At 38.5% G+C, this 12,965-nt stretch overlaps 1 protein-coding gene across 3 annotated transcripts in view, besides 1 other annotated feature; it reads right to left on the bottom strand.

The window, feature by feature from the left end:
- PREX2 (phosphatidylinositol-3,4,5-trisphosphate dependent Rac exchange factor 2) overlaps positions 1-12,965 on the bottom strand; it is a 284,987-nt gene that overhangs the window by 259,893 nt on the left and 12,129 nt on the right. The gene's annotated exons all lie outside the window — the stretch shown is intronic.
- Positions 5,908-6,409: an enhancer, noted in NCBI's record as "NANOG hESC enhancer chr8:68882966-68883467 (GRCh37/hg19 assembly coordinates)". NCBI's record gives its function as "activates a minimal SCP1, AML or CMV promoter by ChIP-STARR-seq in naive H9 embryonic stem cells {active_cell/tissue: H9 hESC(naive)}" and the evidence as "EXISTENCE:reporter gene assay evidence [ECO:0000049][PMID:30033119]".

Raw genomic sequence — 12,965 nt, 5'->3', positions numbered from 1 at the left:
CATGACCCAATGGCTTCCCAAGGCCACATCTCCTAATCCCATCACATTGCGGGGTTAGAATTTCAACATATACATTTAGGGGGGAGACAAACATTCAATCCATTATATTGCATAACAAACTATGCCACACTTAGTGGCTTACAATAACCATTTATTTTGCTCACAATTTTGTGAATTAAGAATTTGAGAAGTGTTCAGCTAGACATTCTGCTACATGTGCTACCAGCTGGGGTGGCTGGAGGATCCATTTTTAAGATGGCTCCATCACTTCATCCCTCACATGTCTAGTGCTTTGGTGTTACCTTGGCTTCTCTCTCTCTGTCTCACTCTCTCTCTCTCTCTCCCCTCTCGCTCTGTCTCTGTCTCTGTCTCTCTCTCTCTGTCTCTCTCGCATCTCTCTCTCTCTCTCTGTCTCTCTCTCTGTCTCTCTCCCGTCTCTCTCTCTCTGTCTCTCTCCTGTCTCTCTCTCTGTCTCTCTCCCGTCTCTCTCTCTCTGTCTCTCTCCCGTCTCTCTCTCTCTGTCTCTGTCTCTCTCTCTCTGTCTCTCTCCCATCTCTCTCTCTGTCTCTGTCTCTGTCTCTCTCTCTCTGTCTCTCTCCCGTCTCTCTCTCTCTGTCTCTGTCTCTGTCTGTCCCTCTCTCTGTCTCTCTCCCCTCTCTCTCTCTCTGTCTCTGTCTCTCTCTCTCTCTCTGTCTCTCTCCCATCTCTCTCTCTGTCTCTCTCCTGTCTCTCTCTCTCTCTCTCTGTCTCTCTCCCTCTTTCTCTCAGTGTTTCATATTCCAGGGTCTCTCCACATGGCTGAGGCATCTCACAGCAAGTTGGTCTCAGAATAGTGGCACTGCTTCTATGGCAGCTATCTTCGAGAGAGCTATTCTAAAAGCACATTTTCCAAGAGATCCAGGGATAAAATTTCAAGAGCCCTTAAGACCTAGTCTTGGGAGACATTGGTCAATTGCAAGTTTCAGAGCTAGCTCAGAATCAAAGAAAGGGTGCTGCTGGGGGTTTGGTTCATTACGAAGACAACTTTGGGGACTAGTTGCAACCGTGTGTTATAACTTCATCAAAAGCCTAAAAGTATAGAAGAATCTATGCATTTTTTTAAATCAAAAATCAGTTACTATCCTGGCCAGGCATAGTGACTCACGCCTGTAATCCCAGCACTTTGGGAGGCCAAGGTAGGTGGATCACCTGAGGTCAGGAGTTTGAGACCAGCCTGGCCATCATGGTGAAACCCCGTCTCTACCAAAAATACAAAAAAAAAAAAAAAAATTAGCCGGGCATGGTGGCACACGCCTGTAGTCCCAGCTACTCGGGAGGCTGAGGCAGGAGAATCACTTGAACCCGAGAAGCGGAGATTCCAGTGAGCTGAGATTGTGCCACTGCACTCCAGTCTTGGCGACAGAGCCAGACTCCATCTCAAAAAAAAAAAAAAAAAAAAAAAAAAAGAAAGAGAAATCAGTTACTATCCTGATAAATATTAAGTATACTAGCTGAAAAAGACATGCTAACATAGAATACTTAGGCACTGCTTCCCTGCCACACTAGCTATTCATAGTAATATTTGTTTGCTGAATTCTGTTGCTCTCGTTTTCTTCTTTGTTCAATGTATTAAGATATTACTACATACTTGGAAAGGTAGGCAATAAAAAAAGATACATAGTAACATTTGTTTCACTTTAAAAGCATGTATTCACTCATTCATTCTTTAGGTTCACTATAGGCCTGGCACTGCATTAGAAATTAGTTATAGAGAATAAAAATGTGAAAAAGGCCCAGTTCCTGCCTACAGGTACTTATATAGCAACACAATGAATAGGACACACACACACAGACACACACCAAAAAAAAAAAAAAAAAAAAAAAAAAACAGGCCGTGTGCAGGTAACATCAGCCAGATCCATTGGTTCATTATAATTTCAAAAGACTGAGAGGCCCCGACTAGAGGAGACCATGAACTTTGGTTGGTTTTCAGTAGGTCAGGGTGAGCTACAGTTTTGAGAAAGCGAGGGACAAAATAAAAATCATCCATTCATTGGGAAAACTAGTTTCTTAGCAGTGCAGGAAGGCTTGAGAAGAAGAATAATAAAGGCAGAAGCCAGAGCTCTCCAGAGAGAGGTGCACAAGCCCACACTGAGAAGTGGTATGAGGAACACACAGCAAGGATGGATTCCGGAGCTAATTCTGAGTCACCACAGTCAGGATGCAGCAGAGACTGGATGTGCACACAAAAACTGTCCATTTTCCTACATGGTCTTACAACTAACTTAATATCCAATTGTTTATATCCTTACATGAAGAAGGTAATAAAACTGCAAGAGACCAAAGCAATAAATGAATTTGAAACAAAATTATTTCTAAAATGATATCACTGCATCATCTCTAGGTTAGGAGGATCATCATAACTATTCATTCCAGTAAAAGTTAAGTAACTTTTTCTTAATATTAGCTTTGTACAATGAGTTCCAAATAAATTCTCAGAATTTGCATGATAAATAGTAGGAAAATGTTCTCACCCTCATACTTGGCCAACCCAATTATTTTAATCTACCAAAAACAATAAAAATGTCAACTCCCTTTCACGCATCCTTTGTTATCCCTTACATGGAAAAGTTAGCTCCAAAATGTAATGAACTAGCATATTTCTAGGTAGGATTTTAGCTAATTGATGTCATGTTATAATATATAATACCTATTAAAATATATTTTCAGAACATGAAGAATGTTCATCAATTTTCACTTTTAAAATCAAGTTTATGAGAATGCTTTTTAAAAACTCCATAGATTTTTCTTTTACTTTTTTTCTCTCTTTTCTTTTTTCATGGCAATCATGTTGTTTCTTCTCAACCAAGATACTGGCAAATTGTATCTTGTTAGTCTAAGTCCAAAGTAGTACACCAAGGCACCACTGAAAGAAAAGCTTTCAAACACGAGGTTCCTATAATTCACATTATCTTAAAAAAGCTGTTTATCAGAACACATCAAAGCAATTTTTAGTAATAATTCACTCTTTCTCCAATTTTCAATCTAAGTGAAGAAAGGTATATAGCACATTTTTATAATTCATAGAATATTTTCTTATTTATAGCATATACTAATCTACTTCAGCCAATAAGATACTTAACACCTAGTATGTAATAGACATATGCTAGGTTCTATAGAATATATGAAGGAAAAAAATGTGCATTAAGTTTTGCAATAAGTGAAAGGACCTTGAAAGTTAGAACAGTTGAACTAGCACTGTTCTTGATGTTAACTCTTAGATTCCACTTTCACATTTTACATTTAACTCTTGGTATCCATGTGTTCTGGGGCTACTACTAATACAACTGCTCCCAGCTGTAAAATGTCTGACTTGCTTTACTATCAGGCCCAAATATGATAATGTTTTATAAACTGTGATATACCACACAAAAAAATTATCACAAAACCCACATACATAGTAATGCAAGACCAATAACACTGAAGTGCTAAGATATGCGTTACCAACAATAAAACCTATAGTTAGTAGTGACAAGAACCTATATAGGAAGTGACAAGAAGATAAAAGTGGTATGAAACAGACTAGGAAGAGATGTCATTACAAAAAGGTGATGTTTGAATTGGATCCTGAGTATGGATATTCAAGAAGAAAGAAGAAAAGATATTCAAGTATGGATATTCAAGAAGAAAGAAGAGCATACATAAGTAGAGGCAGAAAGGCAGATCAGCAAGATGTTTGATGGATCACTTGAGAACCCTATCGGAGAGATTCTTCAGGAGTAGCTACAGCAAGTTAATTTGACAGATATGCCAAAGGCCCTTTTTTGTAAAAAGGCTCTAGAATGACAAGTTGATAAATTAGGATGTTTGAGCATCAAGGAGGCAAAGTTTATGATAAAATGAAATAAAAAGATGAAAACATTCTTTTAGGAAGATTAATCTGAGAATGTTTGTTGGACGGATATCAGTCTGCCCATACTTTTATTGCCGTATCACCCCTAAAGTAAAGGAGACTACTTCAGAGAAGAAGCAGGGGAGGCCTGGAGAAAGGGGTATATCTAGTGACACTTAGAAACAGAAATCAACACGGCATTGAGAGTGGCTGAACAAGGGATGAAAGATATGGAGACAAAGATGACACTGAGCCTTCCAGTCCAGGGAGACCAGAGAAGACCAATTACAGAAAAATAGGGGAGGGACAAAGAGGAGTTACATGTCCTCTAAGGGAAAATGATGAATTTAGTTTTGCACATGTTGAGTTTGAGGCAAAAGTGAGACATACAATGGAATGTCCTTATATAGAAGACATGATTTTGGGATTCAAAATCTTCACTGGAGCAATATAATTTAATCTGGTTTATGTAAAGGTAATTGCAGAGGCCATGGTCAGTTGATAAGCTTACTGGAAGGGATTAAAGTAGGTAGAAAGGGATGCAAAGGTAAGAAATGAAAGTTAGAAAAAAAGTGGGTAACTGTAGAGTTTCATCAGGGAACCTAAGGGAGGCCCTACAGGGAGGGAATTTCAAACAAGTAACACTGATGAACAATGCCGGGGAAGTGAAGGGAGCTCAAAACTGGTGACAGAACTAAGAGGTATGGTTAAAAGATAGTCACGGGGAACCTTCAGGAGCCTAGCTTCTTAAAAAAAGGGTCTGAAAGGCAGGTTGGGAAGCAGTTGAAAGAGGAAGAGAATGCAGTAAATTCAGCAGTAAATACAACGATGTAGTCAGGGAACCTGAAAGCTTTGGGACAGAATTTACACAGGAGCTGCAAGAGGCAATGAGATTCAGAAGAGGTTTCACATACTTTCAACACAGAATACATGACTATATCTGATGGCATAAACAGGAAGAAATCAAAGTTACACTTTTGTTCCTTACTCATATGTAGAGGTAATAAGTTTTATGGAGATCACCAATGGGCTTTATTACAGAAATTACTGCAATCAGAAATCAAGGGCGATTACTCATTCAGCCAAAAGTAAAGACACCTGAGCCCCTCACGGCAGTGAACTTTAATTATATCTTTAGACATAAGGGAAAATATGAAAACAAAACAAAACCATTAAGGACATCACATCAAACAAGTGGCTTTACAGAAATCAGTTTCTTGCACTTCAAATCTCCCTTGGCATGCATATGCTTATGTTCACAAATTGGCACTTAGAAAATAATTCTCCATATCTCATCACAACAAAGAACTTTGGAAAATACATCAGTCCTCCATGGGAATTCTCCAAAGACTTTAAAATATTAATTTCTACAACATCCTTATTTCCCAAAGTAGCATACTTCCTTTCCCACGTCAGGAGTACTTCCCACTAATCACTGTTGTCTTATTGCCTTGCTCAGACACATGGAAAATGATTTGTTGACTGCTTTCTACCTAAGTTAAATCAAAACTTTAACTATATCTTTTCCACTAACAGTATTTCTCATTACTATTGCAAAGTATTAATGGATAACTATATCTCCAATAAATGCAGCCTCCTAGCTAATTTCATTTCTTTTTAGTTTCCTCTTCGATGTTGAGTTACTTCTTAGTTTTATAAGTGGATTTTGTCAGTGCATCTCTTCTCATCATTCATTCTATTATGATATTACCTATTTTTTAGGGGCAGTTTGGAAAGCATGTATCTCAATCCTTGATTAATATATATATTAATGTCATGTATTCATTTCCTTGTATTTCTGAACCCTACTCCCACATTAGAATCACCTGGGGAGCTTTTTAAAAATAGCAATTCTTGACTTCCACCCTCTCTCCCCGCACCCTGAGATTCTAATTAAGCTGGTCTGGACCGAGGTCCAAGCATCAGCAATATTCCTCACCGATTTAGTCTTTCTGACTTTTGTTGAGCTTAATGAATTGATCTCTCTCAGGTCTCACCTGTGCCCAACAGAGCCATTCCTGCACTCTGGCTAGAAGCCGGCCTCCCAGACGACGCTTTCTGAACCAAGGCCCATTGTTTTGACTTCCTTGCTCAAAAATCTCCCCTAGCTCCCACACTGTCTACTAATTAGTCCTAAACTACCTCTACTGTTATTCACCATCTGGCCCCAAGCTACCTTTATCACCCCCTATACCACTCTACACCCCTGCACCTACTCTTCAATGGGACCACTTTAATCACTGTTCCACAAAAGCAACACCATGAAATGGGACAACCTTTTCAACAGTTCCTGTGAAAAGTAAAATCTAGCCAAAAGCCTCAGGCATTTACTCTTTGTTACTAGAACGACAGATGAAAGGGAATCTGTTTGCATTGGGTAAATAAATATAAGAATAATAATTGCAAAACAGCTGCACATAGCACCTTTCTGCTGCTATGTTAGCAGGTGGATGAAGTGAGCCCTGCATCCCCAGTCTCTGTCCTGACCCTCAAGCCTCCTGACATGCACTTGGAATAGGCTCCTGTATGATAATCAGTTGTTTCACAATCACAGAAGAGGAAAATGATTTTCTCCTGATTTATTTCATATTTCTTACTCTGAAGTTGAAAGAGGATTACCTCTTGATCAAGAAAACATGAGTCTGTAGCTATTAGTGTGAGAACTCTAACTCCAAGTTATGTTTGGTATATTTTCCCAAACTAGCAGCCCAACAGAATCTCTGTAGGAGGTTGTTGGAGCTGAGAACTGCCAAGTAAGTGATTAGGCTTTATTTGAAAATTAGTTCCATCAGAGACATAGGACCATAAAAATAGATTAGGGGTATGGTTATTTTTGCTGGCATAATTAATACCATGTTGTTGAAAGGCTGATGGTCATTACACTATTTCTTCATATGAATAGGAATAGTTCTCATTTTAGGTTTGGTGGTTTGGGCCTTTTTATTTATTATATTTTTTAGTGTGGGGCGGTAGTTTGATGATTAAACTGTATCTGAACTTTACACTGCTTTACATGAAATTTAGAGGCTATGACTCCAAGGAATAGATTTCGATCTGTTTAGATTAACAGATCGAGATTAACTCACCTTCAACAACTGTTACACAAATATACACCATCAGGTCAATAAACAAAACAACTTCACACTTTGACTTCCCAAAATGGAGATAGCTGATTTCCCTCTTACTATTTCCCATACTTACGGAATCTCTAAGCAGATTATAACTACAGCATAAACAACCAAGAGGAAAAAATATGGAAGGTACTAGGAATTAGAGCAAATTGAGCTATAGAAATTTTAGAAATTATAGAAATTTTCAGACCGGAGTGAGACTCAGATGATGGGCATAAGATTCTCTAACTCTCTTCCTTTTGTTTGTAGCAACACATTTCACCTGTGCTCACCTGGGAATGTATGTGAGCTGAAGGAAGAGACTTCCCATTTTTACACAGCGGTAGCAAAATGAACCCACTCACCAAAATAAATGGCAACCTTCGAACAAGCTGTCAGGAAGAATTTCAAGTTTTTCCTGAGGGTTCCATCTCCAGAAGAGACCAGACTTGATGTATGAGGAAGGTCCCAGCAGCTGGTAAATATTCTTCTAAATTATACAATAATCATAAAACATTAATAAACCTTCCTAGGTGGAAAATGGACTTGAGGGAGTAACTACAAACCAACTGTCTCAAATGTTACTCTAATCATCTCAGGAAGTAAGTTTAAAAGCAATCAAAATCTACCTCTCCTTGGGTTATAATTTTGGTCCTAATCCTTATTATTATGGGATGGTCCATCCCTCAGAGTCATCACAAGCCTAAAGGCCACACTCAAAGCTACACAGTCAGTGCCAGAGGCTCCTGCATGAGAAAAGATACAGGGGGTGATGAGACCAGAATACCTGAGAGTGGGCTCAGCAACAGCAACGACATTTCTCTAAAAGGTAGCAGAGATCTCTGAAGCTGCTGCTTTGGCTGTGGCATTCATAGACCACAGAGAGAGAACTGAGCTGGGTTAACCCTTGTCCCCGGTTCCTTTATGACCCCCTGCCACATTCAGACATTGTCTTAGACCAAACTCTAAACGCGGCCTCACTCCCCAGTGATAACCCCAACCAAACACTGTGCTCTTGATAAATGAGCACTGTCAGCACTCAGGGCCTCCAGGTCAGGCTCTGGCATGGTGACCCCAGCCACACGACAACCTGATGACTGGCATGAGCATTAAGACGCTGAGCAGAGTGCGGCAGAAAATCTCAAAGCCTCCAAGTAAGAGCTACTGATGGATTGAAAATTCTGTTACAGAGTTCAAGGAGTTTTACATATCTGATTTCCTTCCTAGGCACTGTATCTTGCATTATTTCCTTAGGCAAGTCTTGCCTTTAAAGTTCACCCGTATCCTTTGCATTCTTGTGGGTTAGTTTGGTACAACGGCTATTAGGTTAAGGCTGATTGTCTCCATTTTGTCAGATTCAAACCACAGTCAAAACCAGTTCCCCTGAAAAGCATAGATAAGAAACCCAGGATTTTCCTTACTTTGAAACAATCAGGCAGACAGGTCACAAATAGCACAAAAGAGAAGTGGATGCGAAAGATTTCAACTTTCTGTGGTAATTGTGTTTGCACTTCCTTTTAACTTTTATGATGTATGAGCCACAGAAAGGTCTCCTTAAAGAGAAACAGGAAGAAGAAAGCACATAACCTTATCAAAAAAATACAGACAGCTAAATTCCTTCCCTTTGGTTATACTTTTTAAAAGCCCAATATAATTATTCACCCATTCCTATTCTGAAGTTGGTAATGATGATGGTAATAAAGCTATTTCCTTTTCTTTGTGCTGCGAATTCAGTGAACCAAAGAATGAAGCTCCGCAAAAGGCTGCTTAAGAAATATCATTTCTAGAACTAACCCTGAAAAAAATGTCAGCACCAGAATCCGAGCTCCCAGATTCTATTAACAATTTAGTCAAGAGCCGACGTTCCAGGATGCTAAGGAGAAAGGGAATATTTTCCACAGTCCTCAAGTGACCTTTCCCCTCCCCAGTCGCTGGCAGATGCTTCCAATAGCACTTTACAGGCCACATAGGGGCCTCTTCCAGCTGTCCACAAGCCTCAAGGGAGTCATTTCTATAGGGCAATCAGAGAGACAATACCACAGGAAGAAAGCCGGGGAGGGTTTGCAAGGTACTCTTTTTTTTTTTTTTATACTTTAAGTTCTAGGGTACATGTGCACAACATGCAGGTTTGTTACATATGCATACCTGTGCCGTGTTGGTGTGCTGCATCCATTAACTCGTCATTTACATTAGGTATATCTCCTAATGCTATCCCTCCCCCAACCCCACGACAGGCTCAGGTGTGTGATGTTCCCCACCCTGTGTCCAAGTGTTCTCATTGTTCAATTCCCACCTATGAGTGAGAACATGTGGTGTTTGGTTTTCTGTCCTTGCAACAGTTTGCTCAGAATGCAAGGTACTCTTGATCCTTCCCATCCCCTTTCAGGGAAAGGCCTTAAATAAGAAAAATGTATGAAAGCACCTCATACCTTAGCTTTTAACTCACGTCTGGGATTATCTAAGGCAATGGTCATAAAATGGCTTTTAGAGCCTGCTGCACATTCAAGATCTCCAATTCCCACCCCTGCCCCACTTGTTCAATGCTTCCATCCCCTCGCTGCTAAAGGATACTTCATTTCCAGCAGAAGCTTTTCAGCCTATGGTGCCCCAACTGCACAGCGTGCTGGGTTCCCATCCATGATGAATTTGAATGTTGGCTGCAGTTCCACTAGACATGGAGCTGCTGGGCATGAAACCTTATTGACAAAACACTCCACAAAATAAGCTCCTCAATGGTATAAACACAGAACAGAGTGAGGCAGTGGATTTTAAAGATTGCACCTTTAAAAAATATATGCCTATTATATTAAAGTCAATAGACTGAAAAATGACAACTAAAGAATGACACTAGTTAAAGCCTTAAGTCTTAGTGTCACCATGCTTTTTCTAATCTGTTCTATTAACTTTATTTATTAGCAATGTACATCTGGGTTTAATCTCACCTCTGAATTATCACTACACTGAAGATTTAAACAAGAAATCAATTGGCACTTTCCTCCTGGATATTGCCTGTTAAGGTTAACAGTAAAAAATAAAAATTCTTTCAAATATTTTTAGAGATTTACAAAAAAGAAGAGTGACAGAAAAGAGTGAATGCCTGCTTTTTCATCTTACATAAAATGTCAAAACACATGCACACTTATTCCTCTTCTCTGCTTCACTTATTCTCCCAGGCACTTAGACTAGCTAATACATCATATATTTTACTCATTTATCTTGTAGCTCCTAGGTTAGAGTCAGAGCTCCATGAAAGCAGGAATTTGTAATGCTTGTCAGTGCTATATCCTCTGAACCTTGAATAGTGATTGGCAGACAGTAGGTGCTCAAGAAATATGCCTTGGACCATGAAGAATAAAAATATCTGGATTTTGAAAGCAATCATTGGAGAGAATCAATCACAATGCTTAGCATATTAGGGGTTATTTTTTAGGTTGCCTGATTCATTGCTGAAAATAAGTTTTTTCACTTAATAAAGTTGGTTTTGCACATTAATTTATAAATAGCTCTGGTTGCATTTTCTTTTTGTTGTTGTTGTTGTTTTTTGTTGTTTGTTTGTTTTTTAGAGACAGAGGTCTCACCATGTTGCCCAGGCTAGATTTGAACTCCTGAGCTTAAAAGATGCTCCCACTTCAGCCTTCCAAGCTCTGCCCAGATTGATGCATTTTATGGTAATTCCTTTTTTCTCTTTTACAGATTTTTTAGTTCTGTATTATTTGGAAAAAAAAAAACCTGTAGATTTTACTTAACACATATTCAGTACTAAGGGAAATTACAGAATATCATAGAGGAGTTGGAACTTTGAATTGTGACATACTGGAAAAGAAATAATTTGTAGGAAGGATATATAGTACAACATAGTAAAACTATAGGCAATTTATTTTCTTTAAATGTTAGCAGACATTTTCTTTTTAAAAAATTTATTCAAATATCCTAGCTGACTACCTAGATCTCTCATTACGGTTTGCTTATATTTTCACAACATCATCAAAGGTGAATCTGACCCAAATCCTCATCTATAGAAATACATATATTTAAAATTGAAGATCCAGTCAAGTACTAAGCTCTCAAATTTTCTGACAATCCAACTTATCATGTTCCTCATAATGAAGTAAACCATAAGTAGAAATTTTTTAAAAATCTTAAATCACAAAGAATATTTGCTACCCTCAAAACATTTAATGATACAGAGAAGACCCAACTTACATGTGAGAATTATTAGCGCACTAAAAATTATACAGGAGAAACATCAACTTCTCCTATTTTAATTGAAAGCTATGCTCTTCCATGAATAACATGATTCCTTTTTGGACCCTAAAAATCATATGGTTGTGCTAATTGTCCTTGCTAGAAACTGAGGAAAATGTCTCTAGCTATGTAACATGACCCATTTACCAAACTTCATTCTATGACTACCAGAAGGCCGTTTACTCTCCCTCCTCTATCCTGTCAAACAAAGTAGGTCTGGCAAACAGAACACTCTCAAGAATAGTGATCATTTTTAACAATGGATTCATTTAATATATGTTTAAACTACATTAATGCTTTTCACCTAAGCAATCAATAGAACATCCACTGAATGCAGACATACACACATTTTGGACAGTGTGTGTGTATATATATACATATACACATATATATATATACACACACATATATATATACATATACACTCATAATAATTACATATGTTAATTATACAAACTAATTTTATATCTTTGCCTCAAATGTCTTGTGATTTGATCATATATAGGATAAACACGAGCTATATTTAAACACAAAGCCAAGGGTTCAAACCTGTTAGGAAGCACTGTAAATACACAGAGATCCAAAATGATCCCAGAGGACTTAAATTAAGCTGAAAATAGCATCAGTACCAACATATATTAACAGATATGCCAATGGGAGAACTAAGGTTTTCTATTTCTGAAAGTTTCATGTGTTTCCTTATTTCTGTGAGGGAAACTCCTGACTTCTGGGTAATCTTTGGCTCCTGAGTGCTTGCCTGGCTCTAACCCTGTCTTGGATTGACCATAAGCTCCTGTTGCTCTCTTGCGCTTGATGGTTTGCCTGAAATGAACTACTGTTCCTTCCTGATTTCTAGCTTCTGTGTACTTCCGGAGTCAACAAGTTCTGCGTCCCTACTCCAGCAACTGCCTTGGTTTTCCTAGTCCTGATTAATCACACCATTCCCACAATCCAGAAGAGTCCGGGCTGTGATTCATCAGCAGAACATCTTGGAAGAGCTATATAACTTTTGCAGTGGATCTTTTCAGAATCCCCACTCTCCCAAATAGGAACTGACCAAAATGTCCCCAGGTGTGAGTTTACAATGATCCGAGGCTTGAAGATAGTTCTAAGTCGTGAGTTAATGAATATGCAGTGCCTAACACATAAGAAACACATAACAAAAACAGAATTTCCATATTATCTTGGAATTTTTTTTCTGGAAACTTCCACAAAATTTTAAAATTACATAAAATCACCAAATACCCCAAAGCCTTTCTGTAGTGAAAGCCAATGGAAAAAAAAACAAAAACAACCTTGAGAGCTCTGGAGCTCTTACAAATATATCTGAAGAGAGAGATAAATGTTAGATGGATTGCTATGTGGGAAAGAATATATTATTTTAGAGGGAAATAATCCAAATTATATTTTAAATACAATAGGTTCTTACAGTAAAGGAATCCAATAATTAATATAAATGATTTTCTGAGGACAGGAGACTAAAGTATCAATGGATTCAAAATGTGGCAGAGATGACCCTTTGCCCCTCAATATTTATTCCCATGTCATTATTTCAGTGTAGAACTCCCTAAGTTTCAGCTGGGCACATGGCTGTCCAGCCAGTCAGCGTATTTCCCAGTCTCCCTTAGAGCTGGATTAGCCATGTTACAAAGATCTGGTCGTGGGGATGAGAGTGAAAGTGATGTGTGTCATTTCTGGGTCATATCCTTAAAGGGAGTGCTTGCCCTCCACTTTGTCTC

This window comes from Homo sapiens, chromosome 8, assembly GCF_000001405.40.
Source record: "Homo sapiens chromosome 8, GRCh38.p14 Primary Assembly".
NCBI classification, from domain to species: Eukaryota; Metazoa; Chordata; class Mammalia; order Primates; family Hominidae; genus Homo; species Homo sapiens.
This window is presented reverse-complemented; position numbering and strand designations above follow the sequence as displayed.